General features: G+C 43.0%; 1 protein-coding gene across 17 annotated transcripts in view; it reads right to left on the reverse strand.

Annotated features, from left to right (window-relative positions):
- KANSL1 (KAT8 regulatory NSL complex subunit 1) overlaps positions 1-26,516 on the reverse strand; it is a 195,452-nt gene extending 168,936 nt beyond the window's left edge. For 14 of the 17 annotated variants that reach the window (NM_001405885.1, NM_001405884.1, NM_001405883.1 and 11 more), the window contains exons 1-2: positions 26,490-26,516; positions 24,820-24,953 (exon numbers count right to left, since the gene is read on the reverse strand). In NM_001405885.1, the coding sequence (NP_001392814.1) occupies positions 24,820-24,842 (23 nt within the window). In that variant the 5' untranslated portion in view covers positions 24,843-24,953; positions 26,490-26,516. Of the gene's footprint in view, positions 1-24,819; positions 24,954-25,536; positions 25,621-25,709; positions 26,061-26,489 lie in introns of those variants that run through there. The other 3 variants (XM_011524628.4, NM_001405854.1, XM_047435794.1) reach the window with 3 other exon arrangements.

The following is a 27,008-nucleotide window of genomic DNA, read 5'->3' on the forward strand; positions in this document are numbered from 1 at the left end:
ATCATAAATCTAATGCCACATTAAATACTTCAAATACATTTAATTCAACAAAAATCTAGTGAGTACCTATTAAGCTCAAGAATTTATTCTAGATATCACAGAAATGAACACATAAACCTATGTAAAAACCCATATTAAAATTATAAAAGAAACATCTTTAAGCTGAAACTGAGGCATGTTCTCACATTAATATTTAACCAGCTAAATATTAAATAGCCAGAGTCAACTAAACCAAAGTTAAGAAATTTAAGTCAAAAAATTTAGGATGTAGAAGGAATATGTTCAGCCGCCACATTTTATTAGTGTGAAAATGAGGCCAACAGAAAGAAGCCAGTTAAGAGATTGCCAAAGCGTCAAAGCTGGAATCAGGGTCTCTCAGTCTTCAATTCTCACTTTTCCCACTTCTAATTCACCAGTGCTACTCAATTGGTGAACTGGATGTGCAAACATGCTAAAGGCATTAAACCTAAACCATACTACCTATTTCACAGTGTCACAAGTATAAAGATTTAGCCAAATGCAAGTAGAAGAAAATCCTCATACTGATTACAATGACTACAAAGCTCAGAAATCAAGATTTTTTTTCATTAAATGGAGGCCTTAGCTGATTCAAAATATCATACAGTATTTTTATGTACTGACTGAATCCAGTAGAAACAAACTTTCAGTAAGATTAAACAAAAGCATTTCATAAATGGCAAAGTATTACAAGAATGCATAGCATTCCTTCATTTCAATCCAACCTAACAAGATATTTTCCTCCTCATACTACTGATACAAACTGCAGGATTTACATAAAGATATTATTTTGCCATCTCACCACAGAACTGACCCAATAATTCATACAAAAGAAAAACTAATTATTAGGCAGCCTCCTAATTTAACTGTGTTAGTAATGAGAACAATACTGTTGTAGGTTAAACCTAAATGTACTAGTAAGTCTAGAAATAATTTACTTTAGGATAATTCAGAAGACAACATTAAAGCTCAGCTGAATACAATTATATCACTGAAAGAAACAAGTCAGGTTCTCTCAGGCCATCAGCTATTGTTAAAATCTAACACCCAAGATTGTTGGTCTTCTCCACAGTGGTGGATTTAATAGCAGCTACCAGCACTCATTTCTAGTGCAAGCAGTTTAAGCAGGATTTTATACGAACATTTTAATAAAGTTCCTCAATGAGTTTACACACACACACACACACACACACACACCCTGATTATTTTGGTGAATTTTAGTTAATTCTAATGTTTTTAACTTTAGAATATTTTAAAATTCTCAAATAACTAGAATGTGTGAACGTTCAATGACCAAACATAGAAGGAGTATTCTAATATACTGATTTTGCAGATTAAGCAATCTACGCAGGACCCAAACTTTTTATCAGATAATAAAGCTGAGTGTCAGAATTTGGCCAAAATGTACCAAGAAACTACCTGAGTTCTTTTCCAAAGGAAACATAAAGGTAAATATGCAGAACTTCAAGGCAGCTGTGAGCAGCCAAGTTGTGGAGGGCCTGACAAAAGTGAGTCAGAAGGGAAAATGTTCAAAGAGAAAAGGAGGCAGCAGGTGTACAAGGCAAAACACACCTTAAAAAATATCTTTACAGGCTGGGTGCGGTAGCTCATGCCTGTAATCCCAGCACTTTGGGAGGCCAAGGTGGGCAGATCACGAGATCCGGAGATCGAGACCATCCTGGCCAACGTGGTGAAACTCCGTCTCTACTAAAAATACAAAAAATTAGCTGGGCATGGTGGGGGGCACCCGTAGTCCCAGCTACTCGGGAGGCTGAGGCAGCAGAATGGCATGAACCTGGGAGGCGGAGCTTGCAGCGAGCGGAGATCACGCCAGTGCACTCCAGCCTGGGCGACAGAGCGAAACTCTGTCTCAAAATATATATATATATATATTTTTCTTTTTACGTCAGTTGCTGATTCTAAGTTATGATGCAACTTGTAAAATCTTGTTCTGATGGCATGGCAAACCTAGGGACTTTGGAAGATGGCAGACCTGTTTCCTCCAATGAAGCAGCATACCATTCTTGGAAAGGGAATTACTTTTTTTTTTTTTGAGACACAGTCTCACTCTGCTGCCCAGGCTGCCAGGCTGGAGTGCATGGCAAAATCTGGGCTCACCGCAACCTCCACCTCCTGGGTTCAAGCGATTCTCCTACCTCAGCTGCCCAAGTAGGTGGGACTACAGGCGCGTACCACCATGCCCGGCTAATCTTTGTATTTTTAGTAGAGACGGAGTTTCGCCATGTTGGTCAGGCTGGTCTCAAAATCCTGACCTCAGGTGATCCGCCCATCTCAGCCTCCCAAAGTACTGGGATTACAGGCGTGAGCCACCACGCCCAGCCTAGAACATTATTTTTAACCCACTAATTCTTGGATTCTTGAACTTGTTTCTATGTACACTCAGGAACATACAGCTACAAACGGGGAGTAACCAAAGCCACTGAATATATGCAGGAGCAACTTTTTTGGAGTATCAATTTAATCAAGGATTATAGTAAAATCAGATATACTTTTGTTAAAATAAACACAAATATATTACAGGTTGACCATCCCTAATCTGAAAATTCAAAACCCTCCAAAATCTGAAACTTTTTGAGTGCCAACATGACACCTCAAATGGAAAATTCCACACGTGACACCTTTGCTTCTGATGGTTCTCTGAACCATCAGAAACACTGTTTATTTCAAGAACAAAATTATTTTAAATTTTGTATAAAACTGGTCGGTTGTGGTAGCTCATGCCTGTAATCCTAACACTTTGGGAGACCAAGATGGGAGGATCATTTGAGCCCTGGAGTTCAAAACCAGCCTGGGCAACATAGTGAGACCCTATCTCTGAAAAAAAAAAAAAAATTAAGTCCAGGTACAGTGGCTCAGGCCTGTAATCCCAACACTGGAAAGCCATGGCAGGTGAATCACTTGAGCTCTGGAGTTCAAGACCGGCCTGGGCAATGTAGCAAAACCTATCTCTACCAAAAACACAAAAAATTAGCCAGGCATGGTGGCATGCACCTGTAGTCCCAGCTACACAGGAAGCCAAGGTGGGAGAATCACTTGAGCCTGGAAGGTGGAGGCTACAGTGAGCAGAGATGGCGCTACTGCACTCCAACCTGAGTAACAGAATCAGACCCCATCTCAAACAAACAAAAAAATTAGCTGGGCTTGGCACCGTGCATCTGTACCAGTTAGTACCAGCTACCTGGGAGGCTGAGGCAGGAGAATGACTTGAGCCCAGGAGTTCTAGGCTGCTGTGAGCTAGGATCACATTACTGCACTCCAGCCTGGGCAACAGTATGAGACATCATCTCTTAAAGAAAAAGGTAAAAAAAAGAAATTATCTTCAGGCTATGTGCATAATGTGTACATGAAACATAGAATTTCATGTTTAGATTTGGATCCCATCTCCAAGATAGTACATTATGTACATGCAAACATCCCAAAATCTGAAAAATCTGAAATCCAAAAAACTTCTGGTCCCAAGCATTTCGGATAAGGGATATTCAATGTATACAGAGCAAAAGGCAGAATTCTCACTGTTTCAAGATAGAAAAGGAGTCCTCAGAGAGATATGTCCTGCTTGTAACAAACAGCTCCAAACAGCCCTAGACCCTGAAAAGTACTTTAAGGAAAGATAAAGAGGTACTGGTTTAGACCATTTATAGATAAATATGCATGGCTAAAACCCCTGAATGTAATCCTTCCAGGCAGAAGATAAAACCTGAAATCTAACGTATAAATTGTCATGGGTACAATATTATAAAAGAGACCATAAGTTACCGAGAACATGACTGGAATTCAGGAAATGCTAAAGGTCCTGTCTTATCTCTGTAACTCATTTACAAAGAAATCATGTATGATTTTCTCAACTGCAATCTTTTTTGTTTCTGAATTAGACTGACAAAAATTATAGAATATAATATTCAATATTTTCCACCATATTCCAAATTCTCACTATCACATTTAAACACAATTTTATCTAATGAAATGTGTCCCAAATGAACCAACTTTAACCAGCATCAGAAAAAATAAAATAAAATAGTTAAATGAAACTGTATCTTCTTTGGTATAAGAAGTCCTTCAGGCCAGACGTGGTGGCTCACATCTCTAATACTAGCACTTTGGGAGGCCGAGGCCAGTGGTTTGCTAGAACTCAGGAGTTCGAGACCAGCCTGGGCAACATGGTGAAAACCCGTCTCTACTAAAATACAAAAAATTAGCCAGGCGTGGTGGCATGCGCCTGTAGTCCCAGCTACTCGGGAGGCTGAAGCAGGAGAATTGCTTGAACCCAGCGGGAGGTAGAGGTTGCAGTGTCAGTGAGCTGAGATCGCGCCACTGCACTCCAGCCTGAACGACAGAGCAGACTCCGTCTCAAAAAAAAAGAAAGAAATCCTTCAGCACAGAGGGTAGGAAAAAACAACTACTCACACTTCCCAGAATACCTACCGTGGCAATACCAAAATATGACCATGCTTGTTAATATTTGGGCTACGGCATTAAATGTTTATAACATAACACAAACACTTGTAATCCAAATGTGAATGATTATCTTCAATTTTCAGTAAAATAAGACCCTATAAAAGCCCTACCATTAATACATATTCATTCATAAACATACTGAGTACCAGTGGATGTTAAACACTGTAGAATCTCTAAGGAAAGAATACTCGGTCACTTTATAAGCTATGTGGTAGTCAAGAAAAATCCTTTCTACTCATTGATACGTTAAATGATCAAAAAATCCAAAGCTAAAAAATGATCAGAGAACAATGAAAAAATTTTAGTGGCTTTATGCTTCCAATTCCATTTTCTTCTGGACTCTTTTCTGAAGCTTGCCTAAATCATCCCAGGAATGCTAAAATTGGGTGTTATTTATGGCATAACCAAAATGAAATAACAAAGTAAGTACCCCAAATAAAACTAGGAGAAAAAATCCAGGGAACCAAGCAGGCAGTAAGGATCTAAAGTTCTATACTTGGAACCTCTACCCTGAATGTTAAATAATAGATGTTTTTTAAATAGTTGACTACCAAGTGTGGTGGCATGTGCCTGTAATCCTAGCTACTTGGGAGGCTGAGGTGGAGAGACTACTTGAGCCTAGGAGTTCTAGACTAGTCTGGACAAATAGCAAGACCCTGTCTCACGGGTAGGGGAGCAGGGGAAGGCAACCAAGCTGGGTGTGCCATGTGCCTCTAGTCCCAGCTACTTGGGAGGCTGAGACAGGAGGAGTGCTTGAAACCATAGGCCACTGTACTCCAGCCTAGGCAACATAGGAAGACCCTATCTCTAAAACAAACATAAACAAAAAGGCCGGGTGTGGTGGCTCACACCTGTAATCCCAGCACTTGAGGAGGCTGAGTTGGGAGGATCACTTGAGGTCAGGAGTTCGAGACCAGCCTGGCCAACATGATAAAATTTTTGTATCTTTAGTCTCTACTAAAAACAAAAATTAGCTGAGTGTGGTGGCAGGGGCCTGTAATCCTAGCTACTTGGGAGGCTGAGGCATAAGAATCATTTGAACCTGGGAAGTGGAGGTTGCAGTGAGCGGAGATCACACCACTGCACTCCAGCCTGGGTAACAGAGCAAGACTCTATCTCAAAAAAACAAACAGTTATATCTTTAATTATTATCTTCATTCAGTAATTAGGCAATTAGAATTTACAATTGCTAAATGAATGTTCAAAGTTCAACCAAAATTAGTCCAAGATGAAGCCAAGAACACATCTCAACTCATTCAATAAAGCCATTATTACTCTGATGCCAAAACCAGACATAGATATCACAAGACAACTACAGACCAATATATCTTATGAATACAGATGTAAAAGTCCTCAACAAAGCAAAATGAATCCAGCAACATATTAAAAGGCTTATACACCATTGCTAAGTATGACTTAATCCCAGGGATTCAAGGTTGGCTTAACTTCTGAAAATCAATTAATGTAATACACCATATTAATAAAGGATACAAACCACATGATCATTTGAATAGATGCAGAAAAAGCACTTAACAAAATCCAACATGCTTTCATGATAAAAACACTCAACAAAGTAGAAATTGAAGAAAACATCTTCAATCTAATAAAAAATACCTATGGGGGAAAAAAAGAATACCTACAAAAACCCCATAGCTAAAATCATACTTAATGGAGAAAGCCTGAATGCTTTCTCCCTCAGGTCAAGAACAAAACAAGGATATCCACTCTTACCACTCTGTTTAACACTGCACTGAAGGTTATGGCCAGGGCAAATAGGCAAGAAAAAGAAATAAAAATCACTCAGGCTTAAAAAAAAGAAGGAAAACTACCTTTATTTGCAGATGATATAATCTTGTATATAGAAAATCCTAAGAAAATCCCACAAATAAACTATTAGAGCCAATAAACACATCCAACACAGTTACAGGATACAAGCTCAATATACAAGTAGTAATCGTATTTCTATACACAAGCAATAAGCAATCTGAACATGAAAAGTTTTTAAAAATTCCACTTACAATAGCATCCCCCCGCCAAAAAAAAAAGACTTAGAAAGCCAAGCACGATGGCTCACACCTGTAATCCCAGCACTTTGGGAGGCCGAGGCAGGCGGATCACTTGAGGTCAGGAGTTCAAGACTAGCCTAGCCAACGTGGTGAAACCCCGTCTCTACTAAAATATAAAAATTAGTTGGGTGTGGTGGCAGGTGCCTGTAATCCCAGCTACTCAGGAGGCTGAGGCAGTGGAATCACTTGAACCCAGGAGGCGGAGGTTGCAATGAGCCGAGATCACACCACTGTACTTTAGCCTAGGTGACAGAATGAGACACTGTCTCAAAAAAAAAAAAAAAAAAGACTTAGAAATAAATTTAACAAAAGCAGTGACAATCTTATACTCTGAGATATATAAAAATTACAAAAGAAGTTACAGAAATCCTAACTAAATGGAAAGGCCAGGTGTGATGGCTCACACCTGTAATCCCAGCACTTTGGTAGACTGAAGTGGGTGGGCTGCTTGAGCGCAGAAGTTCAGGATCAGACTAGGCAACATGGCAAGAACTCATCTCTACAAAAATACAAAAATGAGCTAGATGTGGTGGCATGCACCTGTAATCCTAGCTGCTTGGGGGGCTGAGGAGGGAAGATCACTTGAGCCTAGTAGGTTACAGCTGCAGTGAGCCATGATTGCATTACTGTACTTCACTGCAGCCTGGATGACAGAACAAGACTGTGTCCCCCAAAAAAAAAAAAAAAAAAAAAAGGAAAGATATCCCATGTTCATGGATGAGAATGGATCAGAAGATACAACTCTGTTAAAATGGCAATATTCCCTAAATTGATCTACAGAATCAATGTGATCCCAGCATACCCAAAAGAAATTTGAATAGGAAAAACAAAGTTGGGGGACTCACACTTCCTGATTTGAAAACATAATTCAAAGCTATGGAAATCAAGACAGTGTGGTAGTGGCATAAGGATAAACATACAGATCAATGGAATATAAGTGTGGGTTCAGAAATAAACCTTTACACTGACAGTCAATTGATTTTATGACAAAAATGCCAAGACAATTCAGTGGAGGAAAGAATGGTCTTTTTAAGCCAAGTGCTGTAGCTGACACCTATAATCCCAGCATTTGGGGAGGCTGAGACAGGAGGATTGCTTGAGGCCAGGAGTTTGAGACTAGCCAGGGCAACAAAGCAAGACCCCCATCTCTACAAGAAACAAACAATGGTCTTTTCAACAAACCATGCTGGGACAACTGAATATTCACATGCAGTAGAATGAAGCTGGACCACTATATCTCACACCATACACAAAAATTAATTCTAATTAAATTTAAACACGGATTATAGACCTAAATGTAACAGCTAAAACAATAAAATTCCTAGAAGAAAACAAAGCTAATCTTCATTTCATTTGGTGGCCTGACATCAAAACCACATGCAACAAAGGAAAAAACAAGTAAATTTGGCTTCATCAGAATTATAACATTTTGTACATTAAAGGACACCATCAAGAAATTGAAAACACAACCCATAGATGGGAGAAAATATTTGCAAATCATGTATCTCACAAGGGATTTGTATCTAGTATATTTAAAGAACTCTTACAACTCAACAATAAAAAGAGAATCCAATTTTAAAATGGGCAAAGGCTGAGCATGGTGGCTCACACCAGAAGGAGAGGATCCCTTGAGGCAAGGATTCTGAGACCTGCCAGAGCAATATAGCAAGACCCTGTCTCTACAAAATAAATTAATAATAATAAAAAAAAACAATTAGCCAGGCATGGTGGCACACACCTGTAGTCCTAGCTACTCAGGAGCTTGAGGCAGAAGGAACCCTTGAGTCCAGGAGTTTGAAGTTCCAGAAACTATGATTGGGCCGGGTGCGGTGGCTCACGCCTGTAATCCTAGCACTTTGGGAGTCCAAGGCGGGTGGATCATGAGGTCAGGAGTTCAAGACCAACCTGGCCAAGATGGTGAAACCCCATCTCTACTAAAAATACAAAAATTAGCTGGGCGTGGTGGTGGGTGCCTCTAATCCCAGCTACTTGGGAGGCTGAGGCAGAGAATCACTTGAACCCAGGAGGCAGAGATTGCAGTGAGCCAAGATAGTGCCACTGAACTCCAGCCTGGGTGACAGAGCAAGACTCCATCTCCAAAAAAAAAAAAAAAGAAAAGAAAACTGCGATTGGCCACTGCACTCTAGCCAGAGTGACAGAGCAAGACCTAGCCTAAAAAACAATAGTGTATAAAAATAAAATTAAAATGTGCAGAGAATTTAAATAGACATTTCTCCAAAGAAGATATATGAATGGCCAATAAGCACATGAAAAGATCTCATCAGGTTGAGCACAGGGGATCAGGCCTGTAATCCCAACACTTTGGGAGGCCAAGGTGCGGGGACTGCTTGAGCTCAGGAGTTTGAGACCAGCCTGGGCAACATGGTAAAACCCCATCTCTACAAAAAATACAAAAAGGCCAGGTACAGTGGCTCATGCCTTTAATCCCAGCACTTTGGGAGGCTGAGGCGGGTGGATCACCTGATGTCAAGAGTTTGAGACCAGCCTGGCCAACATGGTGAAACCCCGTCTCTACTAAAAAGACAAAAATTAGCCAGGTGTGATGGTAGGCGCCTGTAATACCAGCTACTGGGGAAGCTGAGGCAGGAGAATCACTTGAACCTAGGAGGCGGAGGTTACAGTGAGCCAAGATCACACCACTGCACTCCAACCTGGGTGAAAGGCAAAAATCCGTCTCAAAAAAAAAAAAAGTTTCAAAGATAAAACAAAAATCTTGTTAAAGATAAATACACGAGATGCTAAAGAAATAATCTACTTCTTCAAGTCATGCTATCAATTTGCACCAAAATTTTCATTTCCTATGTGTAGGTGTTGAGGGTCTTGTACCCATGATAAATGACATACACCTGTTCTGGGCTGACTTTTGTTCCCCAAAAGAGATATATAGTACTCCAAGGGGCTGGGCACAGTGGCACATGCCTGTAATCCCAGCACTTTGGAAGGTCAAGGCCACAGCATCGCTTGAGCTCAGGAATTCAATATCAGCCTGGGCAACATGGCAAGACCCCGGCTCTACTAAAAATATAAAAAAATAGCCAGGTGTGGCAGTGCACACCTGTAGTCCCAGCTACCCGGGAAGCTGAGATGGGAGGATTGCTTGAGCCTGGGGTTTAGGGGGCTGGAGGTTGCAGTGATCCAAGTGCCACTGCACTCTAGCCTGGATGACAGAGGGAGACCCTGTCTCAAAAAAAAAAAAAAAAAAAAAGATATGTAGTACTCCTAACATTCAGCACCTCAGAACCTGATCTTAGAGACAGGATCTTCAGGCCAGGTGGCTTCCCTTCCTCTCCGCGTCAGTCTGTCCCACCTCAGCTCAGCCCACCGGAGACAGAGGGTGCAGGAACCTGGAGGCGGAGGTTGCAGGAAGCCGAGATCCTGCAACTGCACTCCAGCCTGGGCGACACAGCAAGACTCCGTCTCAAAAAAAAAAAAAAAACCTTACAACAAAATGATGCAGCCCGGGCGCAGTGGCTCACGCCTGTAATCCCAGCACTTTGGGAGGCCGAGTGGGGCGGATCATTTGAGGTCAGGAGTTCGAGACCAGCCTGGCCAACATGGTGAAATCCTATCTCAACTAAAAAAAAACCAAAAACTACAGAAATTAGCCAGGCGTGATGGCGCATGCCTGCAGTCTCAGCTGCTTGGGAGGCTGAGGCAGGAGAATTGCTTGAACCCGGGAGTCGGAGGTTGCAGTGAGCCAAGATTGCGCCGATTGCACTCCAGCCTGAGTGACAAGAGCAAAACTCCATCTCAAAAAAAAAAGAAAATGCAAAGTCACCTAAGAGACAGTTTAAATACATAAAAAGCTCGATGCCAAATAAAACTGGATGGGTCACTTGATAAGTGGGATTGATAAAAAGCAAGACAGCTGATATTATATAATTCTTATTTGCTTCGATATTTACTGGGGAAGGTAGAGGGGAAAAGCTATCTAAATTACTCTTAATAAGCATACAAATCTCTAATAGTGAATCAAATGCATCATTAAATATACTAAATTCCTCAAACTGATATGTCAGATGTCAGGTAGTCATGAAGACCCAAAATAGTCTCCATGGGTTTTTTGTTGTTGTTTTTTTGAGACAGAGTCTCACTCTGTTGCCCAGGCTGGAGTGCAGTGGCACCATCTCGACTCACTGCAACCTCTGTCTCCCGGGTTCAAGCCATTCTCCCACCTCAGCCTCCCAAGTAGCTGGGATTACAGGCATGTGCCACCACATTTGGCTGATTTTTGTATTTTTAGTAGAGACAGGGTTTCACTATGTTACCCAGGCTGTTCTCAAACTCCTGACCTCAAGTGATTCACCCAACTCGGCCTCCCAAAGTGCTGGGATTTCAGGTGTGAGCCACCACGACCAGCCCCTTCTCTGTGTTTTAAAGGCATTTAAGTATAAATTATTAAACTGCAGGACAGAACATATTAGCTGACGGTCATATGAGTGACCTTCTCTAAATGCCAGGAGGATAGAATCCACTTTTCCTTTATCAATATTTTCCTTGCTCAACTTCTGACATATTAGGTACTCAATAAGTATGTGCTGAACCAAAACGAACAAAAAAATGCTGTCATCAAAGTAACTTCCATCTACTCAAGTAGGCTGCAACTTCAAACTGCCCAAACTAGCAAATCTCTAATAAAGATGGGCTCAGAAGACATATCAGCATGAATAACCTTCTGAGGAAAAGACAACATGGATTCTAAAAGTGGACATCACACCACACCAGTTCACCCAAATTCTCTGAGAAAATAAATATGTGTGGCTGGGTGACGGTGGCTCATGCCTGTAATCCCAGCACTTTGGGAGGCTGAGGCGGGTGGATCATGAGGTCAGGAGATCGAGACCATCCTAGCCAACATGGTGAAACCCCAACTCTACTAAAAATACAAAAATTAGCTGGGTGTGGTGGTGAGCACCTGTAGTCATAGCTACTCGGGAGGCTGAGGCAGGAGAAACGCTTGAACCCGGGAGGCGGAGGTTGTAGTGAGCCGAGATCGCACCACTGCACTCCAGCCTGGGCAACAGAGTGAGACTCTGTCTCAAAAAAAAAAAAAAAAAAAAAAAAAAAAAAGACCTGAGTGGCCACAGGATGAGAACATTTACTGTAGACTGGACATAACTGAGACACAGAAAATTATAGGTAGATGCTGAGGTACTTCCCCAAATGAAGAAGTAAAAACAGAAGATTGAAAATTTTTTTAGAAATGCTATATTTAACATTTTAATATATTGTACAAAAAATATACAGAGAATTCCCCATTTTGCAGATGGGATGATGAGATTCCTAATAATGAAATACCACACGAGTTGGAAAAATAAGGGAACGGAGTGATGGAAAGGGTTTCTAAATATATTAAATGAGAAACATTTGCAAAAACTAAGATTTATATTCAGCTTAGAGAATGCTTTGGCAAGTATAAAAGCTGTCTAAATATGTGAAGGGTTATCTAGCAGAAGACAAACCAGACTTGCTCTAAGCAGTTCCCGTGTAGACAAAATTGGGCCCAAAGTGGCAATTCCAGAAGGGCACGCTTCAACTCAAGCTTTCTAACCATCAGACCTAACTAAAAAGGTGGTTCTTACCTTGGATTACCTCTAAGAGCCCACTGAGATATGAGTGTTAAAAAATTACATGCGAGGAAATGGCAGGTATGTTACAGCATGGACAAATGAAAAGTAAGGCATTTACAGGAAAAAAAATCTAAGCTATACTTAAAAGACTCATGCCTTCAAGTCAAAAAAGGAATTTTTGAATAATTATAGAATATTCCCTAAAGACAATGTGATGTTCTATGCAAAAAAAAAAAAAAAAAAAGGGAGGGAGGGAGGACCAAATCCTATTAGGAAAAAACTGTAAATCAAGGGTACCCAATCGTTTGGCTTCCCTGAGCCACACTGGAAGAAGAGCTGTCTTGGGCCACACATAAAATACACTAAAGTAACAATAGCTGATGAGCTAAAAAAGAAAATCTTAAAAAAAATCTCATAATGTTTTAAGAAAGTTTACAGATTTGTGTTGGGCCACATTCAAAGCTGTCCTGGGCCGCATGCAGCCTGTGGGCCATGGGTCGGACAAGCTTGCTGTAAATAGAACATATTTTCTTATCCTTCTACCAAATCACAGTGTAGTTATAACTAAAATGCAGTTCTGAGTAGTTATCATAAATCCAGAAAGGGAAAGCAATGCTGACAAAGATCCTGGAAGGAGGTTTCACTGGAGATTAAATTAAAAAGTCAAGCATCTTCAGTTGAGAAACATGAAAGCAAAGGGGCAATGTGATCAAAATCAGAAAACGTATCAATATGGTAAATACTAATTTATTCACCTTTTATGCTTGAAAAGTATTTCTTTATATAACAGATAAAAGAAACTTGTGGATTGTGTTACCACAATCTACAAGTTAAAAATAGATTCAAGTGCTCGGATAAATGTAGGTATATTAGGTCCATTCAGGTCCTACAGGATAGAAGTGCTATCAGACGTGAGGCCCTAAATTTCTGAGGTTAACATCTTAACAGATAACAATGTTTCACCTGAAAACATCACTTGGTGCCAATTTAGACAGAACAATTGGTTGGACAGACCCCGGACAGACAGACTCAAGGAGGCTGGTTGGTATAGACTTCCTTCCATTCTTTTACCTCAGTATGTATGTGTGTGTAATATATACATACATATTATACTAGAACATATATACATTCCTTATCTTTATACACTTAGAATGCTCCTTATATAGCTCTGCACCCTGAATTTTTCATTTATCATTTACTCAACATCCTAAGACATTAAAAATTCTTTTTTTTTTTTTAGACAGAGACTTGCTCTGTCAACAGGCTGGAGTGCAGTGGCACCATCTCAGCTCACTGCAACCTCCAACTCCCTGGTCCAAGCAATTCTCCTGCCTCAGCCTCCTGAGTAGCTGGGATTTCAGGCACGTGCCACCACGCCCAGCTAATTTTTGTATTTTTAGTAGAGATGGGGTTTCACCATGTTGGCCAGGATGGTCTCGATCTCCTGACCTCATAATCCGCCCACCTCGGCCTCCTGAAGTGCTGGAATTACGGGCATGAGCCACCGCACCCGGCCAGAAAAATTCTTTCAAATACTATTCCATGGTTGTAAATGTCCATCCTTAAATATACCATGATTTATTTTCCTATAAATCTTGCTGCTCATTTAGGTTTATTCTCAATTCTCACTAATATGAATAATGTTACAATGAACATCTTTGTTCACAAATCTTTCTATGTATCTTAATTTTTCCCCTTTAGGATAAATTCCTAGATGTGCAATTACTGAATTAAAGAACGTTTTTAATTTTGCCAATATATGTTGCCAAAATATCTTTCAAAAAAACTAGGCCCAATGCACACTCCACTAGCAGTTTCAGAGATTGTCCCCTCACCACCTTCGACAGCACAGTCAACTGTAAATCTGATAGGTTAAAAAAAGAGTATGTCATTTAATCTGCATTCCTTTGATTACTTATCAGGATAAAAATGTTTCTCATATGCTTCTTGGTCATTTGTATTTCTTCCTTATGAACTCTGATCATGTTCTTTGCCAGCAAAACTTTTCTTTCTCTTGGCCGACAAACTTTCTGTGGAAAACCAGCTGAGATGGAATCATTTAAATATCAGCAACTGCAGCTCCCCCTGCTGACAGATAAATTACCACCACCATCAAGTGCCCAGTAAAAAAAAGTGAGCTAGAACCATACGCTTGCCTGTCTTCTGGGCTGCTGCTACAAATACAAATTATACACGGTAATAAAAAAGAAAATACTGTGTATCTAAACTCATACTTAACAGAGCTGTGATGGAGAAGGCAAGGGGGACAAGCGTTTTATTTGTTTTTTGTTGTTGTTGTTGTTGTTGTTGTTTTTTGAGACGGAGTCTCGCTCTGTGGCCCAGGCTGGAGAGTAGTGGCGTGATCTCAGCTCACTGCAAGCTCCGCCTGCTGGGTTCACACCATTCTCCTGCCACAGCCTCCCGAGTAGCTGGGACTACAGGCACCCAACACCACGCCCGGCTAATTTTTTTTTTTTTTTTTTTTTTAGTAGAGACGGGGTTTCACCATGTTAGCCAGGATGGTCTTGATCTCCTGACCTCATGATGGGCCCGCCTCGGCCTCCCAAAGTGCTGGGATTACAGGCGTGAGCCACCGTGCCCGGCCCAAACGTTTTCTAATGTGCAGGAACTAGGCGGGGTGCAGTGGCTCACACCTGTAATCCCAGTACTTTGTGGAGGCCGAGGTGGGTGGATCACCTGAGGTCAGGAGTTCAAGACCAGCCTGGCCAACATGGTGAAACCCTGTCTCTACTAAAAATATAACAATCAGCCGGGTGTGGTGGCACGTGCCTGTAGTCCGAGATACTCAGGAGGCTGAGGAACGAGGATTGCTTGAACCCAGGAGGTGGAGGTTGCAGTGAGCCGAGACTGCGCCACTGCACTCCAGCCTGGGCAACAGAGTGAGACTCCATTTAAAAAAAAAAAAACTAATATGCAAGAACTAATGTCACAAACAATTCTAAAAATCAATTCCCTGCCAAATATACTACCTGGCACATATAAACATCACAGACCTAAATATTCATTTCCCTATACTTTAACTATGTGAAAACACTCTAAATTACCAAATGACACTGGGTGGTCAGCAAACTAGTTCTCTTTTTCCAAAAGCAAAAACAACAAAAACACTTTTGCCCTTTAGCATTCAAAGAAAGAGTATTAAAAATCTTAATTCTTGGCAATCCTTATTCCAAAGTTGCTTGCACTTATCAGACTGGGACCAATAGATCCAAAGAGTAAGGCCAAGACTGGCAAATGCATGTGACTCTCAGCTTTTCCACTGATACCCTCCTAAAGATGCATGTCCCAAGTCCAGCAATACAGTCTTTAACACTCATTTACTAAGTGCCATCAAGAGCAAGCAGTGATGGCCGGGTATGGTGGCTCACGCCTGTAATGCCAGCACTTTGGGAGGCTGAGGGGGGTGGATCACCTGAGGTCAGGAGTTCGCAACCAGCCTGACCAACATGGTGACACCCTGTCTCTACTAAAAATACAAAAATTAGCTGGGCGTGGTGGCAGGCACCTGTAATCCCAGCTATTTGGGAGGCTGAGGCAGGAGAATCACTTCAACCTGGGAGGCAGAGGTTGCAGTGAGCCGAGATCGCGCCGTTGCGCTCCAGCCTGGGCAACAAAGAGCGAAATTCCGTCTCAAAAAAAAAAGAAACAAAAACAGCAAGCAGTGAGGATAAAAGACAAGAGCAAGTCCTCACTCTCAAAGAACCTAGACACTAGCTGGGTTCAAAGTGGAGCAAACTAGCAATCAGTACAATAGAAGTGCTAGGTCTGCATATGCACACTCACATGCACACACACTAACAGTTTCAGAGATTGTCCCCTTACCACCTTTGACAGCACAGTCAACTGCAAATCTGATAGGTAAAAAATAGTATGTCATTTAATCTGCATTCCTTTGATTATTTATCAGAATAAAAATGTTTCTCATATGCTTCTTGGTCATTTGTATTTCTTTATGAACTCTGATCATAAAGTGATAATACCTGGGTCCAGAGGAAGCACTCAGTGTCAGCTACTGTTATTACTATTATCACTACTGTTATTTTGTTTTAAGGCTAATCAAGTGAAGCAGTGGGAGTGGAGAAGGAACAAAGAAATCTGTAACTGGCTGTGATCAATTAATAGTAAACACCAATATACTTGGACCAGCCACTACTGTTATTAAAGACTAGGGGGAGTAAGTTTCCAGAACAGGGTAGAGTCCATCTTAAGCAGAGGTAACTGCTTGTGTGAAGACCCAGAGGCAAAGAACAACAGGGTTCACAGAAGGAACTGGGCACAAGCTATCTGTACTACTGCGTACAGGATGCTCAGGAAGAAGTGGAGAGATGATCTGGCAAAACATTTCAACTCTACCTTCAAAGCTAGTTGAGCCATGGTGGAAGAGGGAGGGATATGATCATACGCTTGAACATGCATTTTACAAGGATCATGTTGGCAGCGACTTGGAAGAGAGAAAGCAGTCAAGGAGAATGATTACAAGACAACAGAAGGTCACGCAGCCAAAAGGGCGATGAAGGTCTGGACTCAAAAAGGAGAAGTAGGATGACTAGGAAAATATTATGAGCTAGGATCTCAAGAATGTGGTGACTAGAATGGCACAAGAAGGAACCCAGAGGCCTCTCAAATCCCTGATTTGAGTGACTGGCTGGGTGACACTACCGCTCACTAAGATACGAAGATAGGAAGAGGTTGGACTGGGGAAGTGGATAAGATCATTTTAAAATGCCCATAAGATGGCCAGATGCAGTGGCTCACGCCTGTAATCCCAGCACTTTGGGAGGCTGAGGCAGGTGGATCACCTGAGGTCAGGAGTTCAAGCCCAGCCTGGCCAACATGGTGAAACCCCATCTCTACTAAAAATACAAAAACTGGCCGGACGTGGTGGCGCACACCTGTAATCCCAGCTACCCGGAGGCTGAGGCAAGAGAGTCGCTGGAACCTGGGAGGCAGAGGCTGCCGTGAGCCGAGACCGTGCCACTGCACTCCAGCCTGGGGGATAGAGCGAGACTCCGTCTCAATAGTAATAATAATAATAAAAAAATAAAATAAAATGCCCATAGGACATCCAAGTAGAGATGTCCAGGAAGCAACTGTGTATATGGGATTGGAGATCAGAAAACTAGTCAGAGCTGGAAAAACACACATTTGCAAATCATCGGCATATAGACGGCAAGTGAGGCACAAGTTTATCTAAGGCATTCCTCATAAACTGCACAGGGTGAGAGGAAGAAGGGTCAAGGGAAGGCAAATACTAATGTTTTTAGGAGCAAAAGAGGAAAAAAGTCTGCAAAGAAAACCAAGAGTATGGGCCAGACTTGGTGACTCACACACTTTGGGAGGCCGAGGCAGGTGGATCACCTGAGATCAGGAGTTCGAGACCAGCCTGGCCAACATGGTGAAACCCATCTCTACTAAAACTACAAAAATTAGCCAGATGTGGTGGCGGGCACCTGTAATCCCAGCTACTGGGGAAACTGAGGCAGGAGAATTGCTTGAACCCAGGAGACGGAGGTTGCAGTGAGCCGAGATCACGCCACTGCACTCCAGCCTGGGCAAAAGAGCAAGACTCCGTCTCAAAAAAAAAAAAAAAAAAGTTTCAAAGATAAAACAAAAATCTTGTTAAAGATAAATACATGAGAAGCTAAATAAATAATCTACTTCTTTAAGTCATGCTATCAATTTGCACCAAAATTTTCATTTCCTATGTGTAGGTGTCGAGGGTCTAGTACCCATGATAAATGATATACACCTGTTCTGGGCTGAATTGTGTTCCCCAAAAGAGATATGTAGTACTCCAGGGGCCTGGGCACAGTGGCGCATTCCTGTAATCCTAGCACTTTGGGAGGCCAAGGCCACAGGATCGCTTGAGCTCAGGAGTTCAATATCAGCCTGGGCAACATGGCAAGACCCCATCTCTACTAAAAATATTTAAAAATAGCCAGATGTGGTAGTGTGCACCTGTAGTCCCAGCTACTCAGGAAGCTGAGGTGGGAGGATTACTTGAGTCCAGGGGTTAGGGGGCTGGAGGTTGCAGTGATCCAAGTGCCACTGCACTCCAGCCTGAATGACAAAGGGAGACCCTGTCTCAAAAAAAAAAAAAAAAAAAAAGAGATATGTAGTACTCCTAACATTCAGTACCTCAGAATGTGATCTTAGAGACGGGATCTTCAGACCAGGTGCAGTGGCTCACGCCTGCAATCTCAGCACTTTAAGAGGCCGAGGTGGGTGGACCACTTGAGGTCAGGAGTTCGAGACCAGCCTGGCCAATGTGGTGAAACCCCATCTCTACCAAAAATGTAAAAATTAGCTAGGCACGGTGGCGAGCACCTGTAACTCCAGCTACTTGGAAGGCTAAGGCAGAAGAATCACTTGAACCTAGGAGGAGGAGGTTGCAGTAAGCTGAGATCACCCCACTGTACTCCAGCCTGGGCAACAAAGAGAGACTCTAAAAAAAAAAAAAGAGATAGGATCTTCAAAGAGGTCATAAAGTTAAAATGAGGTCATCAGAGAGGACTCTAATCCCAATATGACTTGTCCTTATAAAAAAGGGGAAATTGTGGACACAAAGAAATACACACAGGGAGGCTGGGCGCCGTGGCTCACGCCTGTAATCCCAGCACTTTGGGAGGCTGAGGTGGGCAGATCACTTAAGGTCAGGAGTTTGAGACCAGCCTGGGCAACAAGGTGCAGCCCTGTCTCTACAAAAAATACAAAATTTAGGCTGGGTGCTGTGGCTCATGCCTGTAATCCCAGCACTTTGGGAGGCCAAGGCAGGCAGATCACCTGAGGTCAGGAGTTCAAGACCGGCCTGGGCAACATGGTGAAACCCTGTTTCTACAAAAAATACAAAAAATTACCTGGGCATGGTGACACGTGACTGTAATCCCAGCTACTTAGGAGGCTAAGGAAGGAGAATCACCTGAACCTGAGAGGCAGAGGTTGCAGTGAACCGATATTATGCCACTGCACTCCAGCCTGGGCAACAGAGCAAGACTCTGTCTAAAAAAACAAAAGAAATACACACAGGGAGAACTCTACATAAGGACTGGAGTTATGCTGCCACCAGAAGCTAGAAGAGAGGCTTGAAACAGATCCTGTCCCAGTTGCTTCAGAGAAAGCATGCCTCTGCCCTTAGATTTCTAGCCTCCAGAACAGGGAGACAATAAATTTCTGTTATTTAAGCCACTCAGCATATGTCACTCTGTGGCAGCAGCCTTAGCAAACAGATGTCATAAGAAAATTCGCAGCTCAGGTTTACTAAGTACCTACCAGGTGCTGTTCTAAACACTCTGCGTGAATAAACTCATTTAATCCTTATAAAGTCCACTCTAGGATCTAGGTACTATCATTATACCCTTTTTACAGTGTGGACACCAAGGTTCTAAGAGGTTAATGAGCTTACCCAGTATCACATAGCCAGAGCCCTCTCTCTCACCACTAGTGTATGAGGAGCTATTATTAACAGTAATTACAATAAGAGCTGGCGTGGTGGCTCACGCCTGTAATCCCAGCACTTTGGGAGGCCAAGGCGGGTGGATCACTTGAGGCCAGGAGTTTGAGACCAGCCTGGCCAACATAGTGAAACCCCGTCTCTACTAAAAATAGAAAAATAAGCCGGGCATGCTGGCATGCGCCTGTAATCCCAGCTACTTGAGAGGCTGAGGCAGGAGAATTGCTTGAACTCAGGAGACACAGGTTGCAGTGAGCCGAGATCGTGCCACTGAACTCCAGCCTGGGCGACACAGCAAGACTCCATCTCAAAAAAAAAAAAAATTAGTAATTACAATAAGAACAGTAGTAGTCCACTGAACCAAACACTGCCCTATGTCCTTTACAGATATAATACAAAAGTCCTCTGAAGTAAGTGTTATTATTTCCAGTATGAAGGAGGAACCTGAATCTCAGAGAGATTAAGAAAATCGCCCAAAGTCACACGGTTAAGAGTGCTGAGATTAGGCCGGGCACGGTGGCTCATGCCTGTAATCCCAGCACTTTGGGAGGCCGAGGCGGGTGGATCACCTGAGGTCAGGAGTTTAAGACCAGCCTGGCCAAGCTGGTGAAACCCCATCTCTACTAAAAATAAAAAAAAAATTAGCTGGCCATGGTGACAGGTGCCTGTAATCCCAGCTACTTGGGAGGCTGAGGCAGGAGAATCACTTGAACCCAGGAAGTGGAGGTTGCAGTGAGCCAAGATCACCTGGACAACAAAGCGAGACTCTTGTCTCATAAAAAAAAAAAAAGGAAGAAGAATGCTGAGATTATATCTAATTGCTAACTTAAGGGGATATACAATGAAAACCTGTTTTTACTAAAACTTTAAGAACAAGTTAATTTTTTTTTTTTCTTTAATGAGACAAGAGACAAGGTCTGGCTCTATCACCCAGGCTGGACTGCAGGGGCGCAATCACAGTTCACTGCAACCTCCACCTCCCAGGCTCGAGCCATCCTCCCACCTAGGCCTCTCAAGTAGCTGCAACTACAGGTGCACACCACCATGCCTGGCTAATTTTCTTTTGTATTTTTAGTAGAGATGGGGTTTTGCCATGTTGCCCAGGCTGTTCTCAAACTCGTGTGCTCCAGCGATCTGCCTGTTCAGCCTCCTAAAGTGCTAGGATTACAGGCGTGAGCCATCGCGTCTGGCCAAGTTAAATTTTTTAATGCCTGACTTTGCAGTTCAATACTAGAAATATACATCTATAAATTCAAAATTCTTGAAGATCCCAAGAGAACACATGTCCTAGATTATGGGCCCTTTTGCGTGTGTATCCCCTCAACCACTGTTCAAGAACTATTCTCTCGGCTGGGCACGGTGGCCCACGCCTGTAATCCCAGCACTTTGGGAGGCCGAGTTGGGCGGATCATGAGGTCAGGAGATCGAGACCATCCTGGCTAACACGGTGAAACTCCGTCTCTACTAAAAATACAAAAAATTAGCCGGGCGTGGTGGCGGGCGCCTGTGGTCCCAGCTACTCGGGAGGCTGAGGCAGGAGAATGACATGAACCCAGGAGGCACAGTTTGCAGTGAGCCGAGATTGCGCCACTGCACTCTAGCCTAGGTGACAGAGTGAGGCTCCGTCTCAAAAAAACAAAAACAAAAACAAAAAAACTATTCTCTCAGTTAGAACCCTTGCCATTTCTCTGACTTCCAGACACAGAAAGAGAAGAAAAGGAAGGATTGAGATGCTGTTCTTTAAAATTTTTTTTTTTTTTTGAGACGGAGTCTCCCTCTGTCGCCCAGACTGGAGTGCAGTGGCACGATCTCGGCTCACTGTAAACTCCGCCTCCCGGGTTCACGCCATTCTCCTGCCTCAGCCTCCCAAGTAGCTGCAACTACAGGCGCCTGCCACCACGCCCAGCTATTTTTTTGTATTTTTAGTAGAGACGGGGTTTCACCGTGTTAGCCAGGATGGTCTCGATCTCCTGACCTCATGATCCGCCCGCCTCGGCCTCCCAAAGTGCTGGGATTACAGGCGTGAGCCACTGCGCCCAGCTAAAATTTTCAATTTTCTATTTAATTTTTAAAATCTGATACAAACATCAGAAAGTGTAAAAAGATATAATGCAATGAGAAGTCTCCTTCCTACTCTGTCCTCTACCTGAACAATTCCTAGACCTAACAGGTAACCAGTGCCACCATTTTCTTATTTATTCTTCTAAAGGTTTGTGTTGTTGCTGTTGTTTGAGACAGAGTCTCGCTTGGTCAGCCAGGCTGGAGGACAGCGGCGTGATCTCAGCTCACTGCAAGCTCCGTCTCCCGGGCTCAAGCAATTCTCCTGCCTCAGCCTCCCAAGTAGCTGGGATTACAGGTGTGTGCCACCATGCCCCAGCTAGTTTTTATATTTTCAGTAGAGACGGGGTTTCACCATATTGGCCAGGCTGGTCTCAGACTCCTGACCTCAGGTAATCCACCCACCTTGGACTCCCAAAGTGCTGGGATTACACGTGTGAGCCACCATGCCCAGCCCTAAAGATCTTTTTTTTTTTTTTTTGCATACATACACCAATGCAAATTATCTTTTTCTCCTGTTTTTTTTTTTCCAAAAAACACAAAGGGTATCAAATCATACATACTGTTCTGCATCTTGCTTTCATCACTTAACTGTCTGCCTTGCAGATCTTTCTATATCATATTAAATTATGTTTTAATTCTCTCGTTTTGCTTGTCAAGAACAGTTTTTACTTCATTTCACCATAGTTCAGTCTAGCACACAAGGCATCCAGCAGCCCTAAGAACTACCTGAAACAACTGATGATGGCTCCATGCTACACACTAAAGACCCTGTATCTTTTCTCTCCTCCTCATCTTCATTTCACTCTTTTCTCCGACTCACTCAATTCTCCTTCCTTTCCCTATTCCTCTCCCATCTCACCCACTCCTTAGCCCTAACCCTGACAACTAGACCCTAGTAACATCACTGACATTGCTTAGTCGTGGCTAGAAATATTCAGGCTTTAAAAAGGTACAGACCCCTAACACAGAGAAAAAGGGATAAATAATAATTTCCATGAGAACTTCTAATTAACGAGAGTGCCTTAAATTGAGGAGTTTTGGCTTGGAGTTATTCTTCCTTGTTACTTGCCTCCTCTGGCATTTTCATTTGTGAAGACTGAGTGAGTGTGACGCTATTTTCTATACGCATGGAAACAAGCACATACTCAGTCTAACATTTACGCAATGCCTGACAGAACGACAGAGTTCATTCTACAATAAGATAATTGGAAACAAAATATAAGATCTATATAAAATAAACATTTGGGCTCCAAAATATGCACTTTAATTAACCTATCATTTCTTTTTACTTAAATTAAGTAGCTCCAATCTGAAACTACATCTTAGAAATGTTTTAAGGATATTCACCAATGAAAAAGAGAATAAAGTTCCCTCTCCCCACTTTTATTTTCCAGCCCACAAACTCAATGCTATCCTCCCCGCAAAAAGGACCTTTTTTTCTGACCAGACGAACACTGTAATTTTTAAGGTTTCTAAGTAATAAAAATAGGAAGAAAACATTACCCCCCAAAATTGGTTTACACTTAGAAGATGTTTCCCACTGAGCAAAGGATTGGTAAGGAACATAATATTAAGGCAACCACCTAACTGCATTCTTAAGTAGTAACAGGTGGTAACTCACGATATGGAGCTGATTTCCTTTCTCTATTCCTGCCATGCCAGAGACCTCTAGTAGAACTTCTGAGGTTACTGTATTACAACCCAGGTTCAGAGAGATTTAGAGGTAAAACCTTAAACACTGGAAATATCTTTAAAAGTAGGGCTTTGTGTACCAAATACATTCGTTAAAACCTAGGAAACTATAAAATGAAATCCAATGTATTGATCTCAATCCCCTTGCCTGCTTCCTAAAGAGGACAGAGGCCACCAACACTGGTGCTCAACACTTGCTAAGTCGAAACACTCTTACACAGGTCCTCTGATTCTTAACGGGTTCAGAACTTCTGGTTGCATTCCCCATGCAACCCCTCCAACTCTACAGGGAGAATGCTGGAAAAACTGTGTCACTTTGGCTTCCTGTATATTAATATAAGCACTCTTATCCAGCAATAGCAGCTGAAACATAAATGAAGATGAGAACTCAGCCTACATGACCTAAGATTTCCCACAAGTCCAGATATTTAGGTTACACACACTGCACTATTGTCTGATTTCTCCTCTGCATCAATCTGGAAGTCCACAGAGCAGATTAGCACCCAACAATCTTAACTAAGCTAGTATCCTACTCTGAAGAAAGGCGAAGCTGGTGGAGGGTTTCCAAGACTCCTTATCCTTCTCTGTCCTTCCTCCCATCCCCTCCTTACGTCTTTTCTGTTTGTTTTTATTTAATTTTTTTTTTAATGTATTTTTAGTCACAAGAAAATCAAAGAAGCCACCTACTTAAGTCTTAAGCTCTGCCCTTTGCTTAGTCCTAATGGAGAGTTCTTTGGCCATCTATGTACAAGAGATTAGAGGAGCCAAAGAGACTGGAGAACCACATCAATGGGAGCTTTTTCATCTAAAGGTCATCTGTCCACACTGTCCAAATGAGGTTTACCCTGTGAAATAAAACTTGGTGTAAGTGCTACCTGCTGAGAAAAATAGTATGAAATGTCACACAAAGGACTGGGGTGCAGCAGGAGGACTCTGAAAGAGTCATACGTGTAAACCAGCAGGTCTTAGAATGCCCTAATATACTATATGAAGTTTCAGAGTAAACAAATGGTTAATGACACATCTTTTGTAACACATGAATCAGCTACTGATTTGCAAGAGTGGGACACACCCTAGTACCTATGACTCTAAAGTACCTGTTTGAAAAGTGGACCTAGATGTTTGAATTGCCAACCCATCCTAAGACCGGAACATAATTTTACAACTATGTAAGTTGCCATAATTTAAAGTTAAAAAGATCACTGCCTTTCATTATAATGGAAGTTAATTTGAGAACTTCATTAAAACATTCACACCGATAATCAAAGAACAGTAGAGATACAAAGTAAAATATAGCCAATCAATCCTAGGAAGCAAACACAAGAGGCAAGAGAAATGGCAGGTAAAGGAAGTGAAGAATAGCAAATTCAAAAACTACAATATTCCCAATTCTAAAGAAAAATGAATAAAATGAGGCTGGTAATGAAAAAATAACACATCTTACCTTAAGAGGCATCCAAGTAGCATTCATAGTGTCAGGATATAAAGACAATACTCAGAAATGAGCAAGAAGTCTTAGTAATTCCCTCGGTTACCAAGTATAAGCAGGTAGGAAAATCTTTTGTTTCGAGAAGGTATCTGAAAGAGAGGATTTTCATTTAGACTAAAAAATAATCAAGACAATGCAAATAGTTTAAGCTACCTGGGCAGGGATTTTGAAGTACTATTTGCCTCATCGCACTAAAAAAGTATAGAAAATACAGTCCCCTTTAGAAAAGGGCAAATGTGTGTCTCCATATATATGTGTGTAGAAACATACTTTACATAAAAAGAGAAATAAATATGTAACACGTATTTTAGATAATGTAAAATTGCTTATCAAACAATTAGCCAAAATCCCAGAGAGAATAAAGTAATTTTCCAGGGTACTTCATAAACACTAAACGTGATTTGTTAACTAACCGTCTAAAGAAAGACCCTTGCCACATTTAATTATATTTAGTAAAGTAAAACTTCTCTAATCATCCCGACTGTCCCAAGATTATGCTTAAGTTTCAGAGTCAATTCCACATGAAAAGTAAAACCTATTCTTGACTGAAGTACTAGAAACAAATAAAAGACCCTTCTTCCCCAGAGATCGTTAAAAGCAGACCGAGCAACTTAATTTTGAGGGTGGGAGGAAGGTAAATTTGCCTGGAGGCAGGAGGATGGACTAAATGACCTCTGGTAGGATCCTCGTTCAAGTCCTGGGCCTGTATACAATTCCAGCTTAACCAGTTACTGCTTCGCTTAAAATGGAGGCTTGCCTGCGTAGGGACAAAAATAACAGCACCCACTTCTTAAAAATAAATGTCGAAAAGTACCCCTTTTTAAATAAAAATAAAAAATAAACACCTCTGGAGTGGATGTGTTCTTGCTATGCGTTTGTCACTGAGGCTTCGAAGACTTGGCATCACTTTCCTTACCGCTCACCGGATTTTGGGGGAGGAGCGGGGGGCGACAGTTTGACTCTTGACCCAAGTCTCAGGCGGACTTCAGAGCCCCACAGGGGCCCCCAACTCCAGAGCCAGAGGGAGCGGAGAGGCGAGAGCCCGAGATCGCACCTCCCCCCACCGCGGACCCCAGTCCCAAACCCACCCCTCACCTCCCCGCAGTGGGGCGCCTCCTTCTGCCCCATTCCCATTGTTAGGGAGGGCAGAGCGCGGGGTGGGCTCAGGGCAGGGGCGCCCGCGGCCGTTGCCCGGCTCGCTTCAGGAGGGGCGCCCCGCGGGATGCGGCTTCCCTTCCTCTCCGCGTCGGTCCGTCCCACCTCGGCTCGGCCTGGCGCCCCGAGGTCCGCTCCGCGCCCCCGGCCGCGGCCCCGGCCCGCCCCCCGGGCAGCCAGGCCCTCAGGCCAGTCGGCCGGCAGCCGGCGTCCCAGGCCTACGAGTGGGCGCTGGGCGGGGGTCCCCGTGCCCCACACACGCGTCCCCTCTCCCCCAGCCCCGCCGCTTCCAGGGCCCTCGGCGGCGCCCGCTCCCCGGGCCCCGCGGCCCCCCGCCTCCCAGCCGGGCCGCTCCCTCGAGCTCGTCGGGTCAGGGACACCTCCTCTACCTCACCATCACCCTGGCCCACTCGTGCCCCCACCCCCAGGGGCACCAGTGCCAAAGGCAGCTCCCCCAGCCCCGGACCTACCTGCACGGTTCAACCAAGCCTAGAAGTGGGGGCGGGGAATCTTCCGCCCTCCTCTGGCGCCCATTGGCCCTTCAGGGGCACATCGTGAGCGCCATTGGCTGAGCAATGGTGTCCGTCAGAGCGATGGGGCGGGACAGAAGGGGGAGAGGGATGCTGGTGCCTTGGCGTCTCTGTCTCTGTGTATCTCGTTGTCTCTGTCTCTGTCTCGGCCCTTGGAAACGAGAGGCTTTTGGCTGAGAGGACTAGAAGGGGGCCTGAGGTGGGAGGAATAGGAATAGGAATCCTGACAGAGCGTCACGCCAGTTGGCCACTCTGAACGCCCTACCTAAGTCCCCTTTAGGTTCTCTTCTCCATCACCCCCAACCCCTGCCCCTCACCCCTCGAGGTTCTTTCATCCAGGAAGCGACGTGATGAAAACTCCAGGCCGGAAGGCCATAGGGAGAGATGTTATATATGTATATAAAATATACACATAAAAATGTTTATATATAAACTCAACCAGATATCAGTTCACTAGGG

The sequence above is a fragment of the Homo sapiens genome, chromosome 17, assembly GCF_000001405.40.
Source record: "Homo sapiens chromosome 17, GRCh38.p14 Primary Assembly".
Classification (NCBI taxonomy): domain Eukaryota; kingdom Metazoa; phylum Chordata; class Mammalia; order Primates; family Hominidae; genus Homo; species Homo sapiens.